Source organism: Homo sapiens, chromosome 9 (genome assembly GCF_000001405.40).
Source record: "Homo sapiens chromosome 9, GRCh38.p14 Primary Assembly".
NCBI classification, from domain to species: Eukaryota; Metazoa; Chordata; class Mammalia; order Primates; family Hominidae; genus Homo; species Homo sapiens.
Window position 1 is genome coordinate 38998866 of NC_000009.12, and position 6000 is coordinate 39004865.

Genomic DNA, 6000 nt, shown 5'->3' on the forward strand with positions numbered 1-6000 from the left:
GTCTCCTGCATCCCTCCAGAGCCTGCAGCAGGAGCTGGGCCCAAGGATGCTGCTGAGTGAGTCCACATGACTGACATACACTGCTCTGGAAGCACCATTCCGGCAGACTAGCCCTCTTCTTCCCATATAATCCAGGAAGGTTGTTATAGATAGTCCAGATTTTTCTAGATAATCTTGTAACATATTCACATTCAACATACATACAAAAATTCACACTTGGTATGGGTAGGAGAACTGTGCAGTCTTCAGTAGAATTTATTTATTAAAGCTTTCTGTAGGCTGTCATTTAAGGCCAGCAAAATGTTTTCGATCTCAGGGGTTAAATGGATTCAAAACAGAAATCAGTAAAGCTGTCATTGCAGATTTCTGTAATAGAGAGGCAAGTATAACAATTGATTAAGAACTCTATCCCTTTACATCTATAGAACATATAAGGCCCCTGGATACCCCTGGACCTCAACGCTCCACATTCCCCATTTCAGAAATCCAGGAGGACATGTGGCACCGTGAGGGGACCACAGAGACCCTGTCTCTCCTGTCTAGTCTATGCATCTTCACTCGCCCGGCCCCCACTTCACAGAACAGGCATTCTTGCTCCAAAATCCCTTGCTCATTCGCTGCCCCTATCCTGCTGCTTACCCAGATTTTAACCCGTGAGTCACCCCACACCCTCCTGACATCTGCTTTTCTCAGGACATGGAAAATACGGACTTGGGATTTGAGCATTTTCTATGCACAGGAAAACTGAAATTGAGATTCAGGAAAGCTACTTCCTGAATTTGATAATTTAGGTGTGGATTAAGATTGTAGGTGTTATCTTGAGAGGGCCCCAAGCAAGTTTCAGATGTACATTTTTTTTGAGAAAATGTGTGAGAGGCTATTTTGCTCTCAGTTCTCTGCTATTGTTAGGACCCCTAGTATTTACCTGCCCGCTTGCACTGTAACTCCAAAGGAAGCTTTCACCTAAAGCTTGGGAGAAATGATCTGCTAATAATCCATCACTGTGGTTTTTATCATGTTTCCCACCGTTTTCTCTTTTATGAGCAGTTCTTCTAATATTAGCATTTTCTTCTTCAAGCATCACTACCATAACAATATTATCAGACACTTTGGGAACATTTGTGGTGCATGTTTTTGTTGTTGTTGTTGTTTGTTTTTGTTTTTTGTTTTTTGAGACGGAGTCTGGCGTCTCCTCTGTTACCCAGGCTTGAGTGCAGTGGCGCGATCTCGACTCACTGCAAGCTCCGCCTCCTGGGTTCATGCCATTCTCCTGCCTCAGCCTCCCGAGTAGCTGGGACTACAGACGCCCGCCACCCCACCCGACTAATTGTTTGTATTTTTAGTAGAGACGGGGTTTCACTGTGTTAGCCAGGATGGTCTCGATCTCCTGACCTCGTAATCTGCCCGCCTCAGCCTCCCAAAGTGCTGGGATTAGTGAGCAACCGCACCTGGCCTTGTGGTGTGTTTTTATTCAACCCAGAAAGAATTTTGTTGCCAGCATTATTTGTATGTATTAATACTTTACTGAGAAACTGTGTCAGATATAGGTATATGCAAAGTTCCTAATGACAGTAGAAAACTAGAAATATGGGAAAAGTTTGAGCTTGAAATATGAAAATTAGAATGATGTACTTAATTAAATAAAAGAAATATTTGCAGATACGCTTGGACCAAGACTGATAATTAAAACACAGTACAATTTATTTCAAAATTAAAATGTTGATTATTTATTTTCTTAGGGGGCAGGTATACATGTTCTTAAATAGTCAGAAACTAAATACACTCTTCAAATGTTGAGAAATAAGTAGTAAAATTTTTTATAAAAAGAAATAGCATGCCCACCTAGATTACTATTAATGAACACTCTTTTAGTTTTTGAATGAAACATTATCTTAGCATGGAAGTTTAAGAAAACAAAGATTTTTTAAAGTCACTATACTATGACATGTCCACAAAAATGTTTAGTAGATAGTTCCTCAGAAGTAATTTTCATAGATGAATAAAATGATGACCGTGCATATTCTTTTCGGTGGTCTTTGTAGATGTGTTAATTCACATGCGGTAAAAGGGAAAAGTTAACAAATGCAAAGCATGAGAATCCCACATTTTAGTTTATACTGATTCTCATTAATTTATCCAGTGGTAATTCATTCTTCTTTTCCTTTTTTTTTTTTTTTTTTAGAAGGAGTCTCGCTTTGTCGCCCGGGCTGGAGTGCAGTGGCGCGATCTTGGCTCACTGCAAGCACCGCCTCCCAGGTTCACGCCATTCTCCTGCCTCAGTCTCCTGAGTAGCTGAGACTACAGGCGCCCACCATCATGCCCGGCTAATTTTTTGTATTTTTAATAGAGATGGGGTTTCACCGTGTTAGCCAGGATAGTCTCGATCTCCTGTCCTCGTGATTCACCCACCTCGGCCTCCCCAAGTTCTGGGATTACAGGCGTGAGCCACTGCGCCCAGCCGGTAATTCATTTTTCATAATTGTTGCTTAGAGATTCTAACCCCAGTTCCCATTACCCATCCTGTCTCACACACAATAAAGTGTCATGTCTGAGTCACTAAATGTCTGCTTTGGAGTGAGTTTGAATTGTCTTTAATGTCAGACTCACTTCAGAGGAGGTGTGGTTTTCTTGCTTTTTTGTTTTTTTTGTTTTTTCACCTCTGTAGGACATTTCCAAGTGGCTCCGGGTCAGTGAAAAGTTATTAAGAGCAGCTTCTACTTCTGTCCTAATTAAAAATTGTGCAAAACAAAAAAATACATCTTTTTGACACATTTTTTTCTGAAGTAACCTCATATTTTTTTCCTTCAAAAATTGAAATCAAAAGGTAAAATAAGTATACAATTTTAATTTCTGATACTGGCATAGTGTTTGTATCTGACTATCTTCATGGAGCAAAAGTCATGGAGATAAAAGATAAAAACTTCACAATTATTCAGTTATTTTGTTTATTGTTAAGTTTAAATCCTATTTGATTTAGCATTTTATTTTCTATAAATGTTTAAATAAACATTTTATAGAAAAGCCCAATCACTACCACCTCCTCAAATCACTGAGGTTGCCTCTAACCTGAGTGTAAATGGAAAGCAATTATATTATTTATCTGCTTTTACTTACTCATATTTAAGTGCTGGTATTTGTGCTTTAGGTCAAATAATATAAGATTTTCCCATAGAAATGATGGCAACTTAGTAATTAAAATTTTAAAGCATCTTACAGAGAAGTATTTTTAGACAATATATCACTTGTTCATACCATGACTTAATCTCTTGATGATAATTTTTTTTTGAGACGAAGTCTCTCTGTCGCCCAGGCTGGAGTGCAGTGGTGCAATCTCAGCTCACTGCAACCTCCACCTCCCGGATTCAAGCGATTCTCCTGTCTCAGCCTCCCGAGTAGCTGGGACTACAGACGCCTGCCACCACGCCTAGCTAATTTTTGTATTTTTTTAGTAGAGACAGGGTTTCACCATATTGGCCAGGCTGGTCTCGAACTCCTGACCTCGTGATCTGCCCACCTCAGTCTCCCAAAGTGCTGAGATTACAGGCATGAGCCACCGAGCCCGGCCTGATAATTTTATTTAACTTTTAACTTCAGTGTGACATGTACAGTTTTATCACATAGGGAAACTTGTGTCATGGGTGTTTGTTGTACAGACTATTTCATCAGCCAGGTATTAAGCCTAGTACCCATTAGTTATTTTTCCTGAATCTCTCCCTCCTCCCACTCTCCACCCTCTGAGAGGCCCCAGTGTGTGTTGCTCCCCTCTATGTGTCCATGTGTTATCATCATTTAGCTCCCACTTATAAGTGACAACAAGCGGTATTTGGTTTTCTGTTTCTGGGTTAGTTTGCTAAGGATAATGGCCTCCAACTCCATCGATGTTGCTGAAGAGGACATGATCCTCCTCTTTGTTCTGGCTGCATAGTATTCCATGGTGTATATGTACCACATTTTCTTTATTCAGCCTGTATGATAAATATTATTTTTTAAAAAATCTTGAGTTCTAAATTCTCCCACTCAGTCATAAAGACAAGTATGAATAAATTACTATTTGGTAGTATAATGAAGGTTATAAGGAACATTTTAAAGTAATTCTTCAGAACTGTTTTAGACTATGCTGTTAGGAAATTGTAGTCTCTCTCAAATTTAACAGGCATTTTACCAAGCATATTTTTATAATTTGGAGATGAAGATTTTTTCCAGGAGCAGTAACGTAGACTCTAATAACATGAGAGCAAGCATGAGAACAGTATGTAAAGCCAAAGTCACCATCTCTCCTCCTACCCCCTCTTGGTGATTATTCTTAATTTCAGAGTCAAAAATGACTGCCATCTTTGCAGTTGAGAAGCCTAAAAGACATTCCTGACTCTTCTGTCTTCCTCACATTCATGTCTACTTAATCAAGTCAATTTTATCTCTAGAATTTATCTGTATTAACCACCATCAACTCCCTGGGCACAGTGACACCATCATGTGGCCAGCTGATCTCGCCCAGCTACTCTTGATGCTGGTATTAGTCTGTTCTCACACTGCTATAAAGAACTACCTGAGACTGGGTAATTTATGAAGAAAAGAGGTTTAATTGACTCACAGTTCCACAGGCTGTACAGAAAGCATAGTTGGAGAGGACTCAGAAAATTTACAATCATGGCTGAAGGCCAAAGGGAAGCAACCACATCTTCACATCGCTGGCAGAAGGGAGAGAGAGAGCCAAGGGAGAGGTGCTGCCCACTTTCACACAACCAGATCTCGTGAGAACTCACTCACTATCATGAAAACAGCAAGGAGAGATCTGCCTCCATAGTCCAATAACCTCCCACCAGGTTCCTCCTCCAATATGGGGGACTACAATTCAATATGAGATTTGGGTGGGAACACAGAGCCAAACCATATCAGACCCCTTCCTGTCTATTATCCCCAGTGTATCCACAGTTCTCTTTGAGATGGAAGCCTGATCATGTCATCCACAGGTCAAAATGGTGTTAATGGCTTCCCATTATCTCGGTGGTGTCAAGGACTTCTGGTTATTCCAATGCCTAGGAGATAAAGTCCAAAGACTCAGCTAGGCCTCTAAAATCCTGTATGGTCTTTCTGTGTCCCCCCAAGTCACCATGCACAGGGCTCCCCACTCTGCTCACTGTGCCACACCAGCCTTCACTCAGGCCCCCAACACTCCTTGCTCTCCTGCCACAGCGATTTCACATAAGCCATTTCTACTTTCTGAATTGCTCTTCTCACTACAAAAACTCTCACATTAATTTTTTCATCCTGCAGGTCTCAGCTCAAATGTCATTCCTCAGAGAAGCAATCCTGACTCCCTAGAGTAAGTCATGTTCTGCTATTTTATGCTTCCAATGAATCATATGTCTTTTTAAAATCACTAATCGCAGCTTTAATTTTGCCAATATTTGTGTATTTGATTAAAGTAGCTCTCCCCAAATAGACTGTATGTTCCTTGAGGTCAAATTTATGTCTAATTTGCTCACCTCTTTACCCCCAGCTCCACACCCAGTCCAAAACATTTGTTGGGAGAATAAATAAATAATGGTTGAACACTTTTGTGAGTTGAGACCTTCTTGGTAAAGGGAACATAGGCGTGAGCTGAAGTCATTGCTCCCAAGGGGCTCTATTCCAATATAGGGAGACTATTTCAAACAAAAACATAAATGTGTTATAGGTCAATTGAGAAGAAAAGGCAGGTCCACAGGTAAGAGAGTAACCCATGGGTAGAAGAAATTCAGCTTTACCCTGACTGGTCATAGAAGGTGTTCCCGAGAAGCTATCTGAGAATTTTACCAGCCAGGTATTAGACATATCCTTTGTAATAAAAGCCATGGTGAGAGAATTTACACAATAGAAATCAGCAAATGCTACAAATCAGGGGTTTCATTCCTTTTGTTTTAGAGAGCCCATTTAGCTTCACACTACAAGCCTCATTCTTTAAAAATCAGTCCTTTATTTTCAGTTAAGATTTACATATGTTGGAAGTAAGATGCCAGC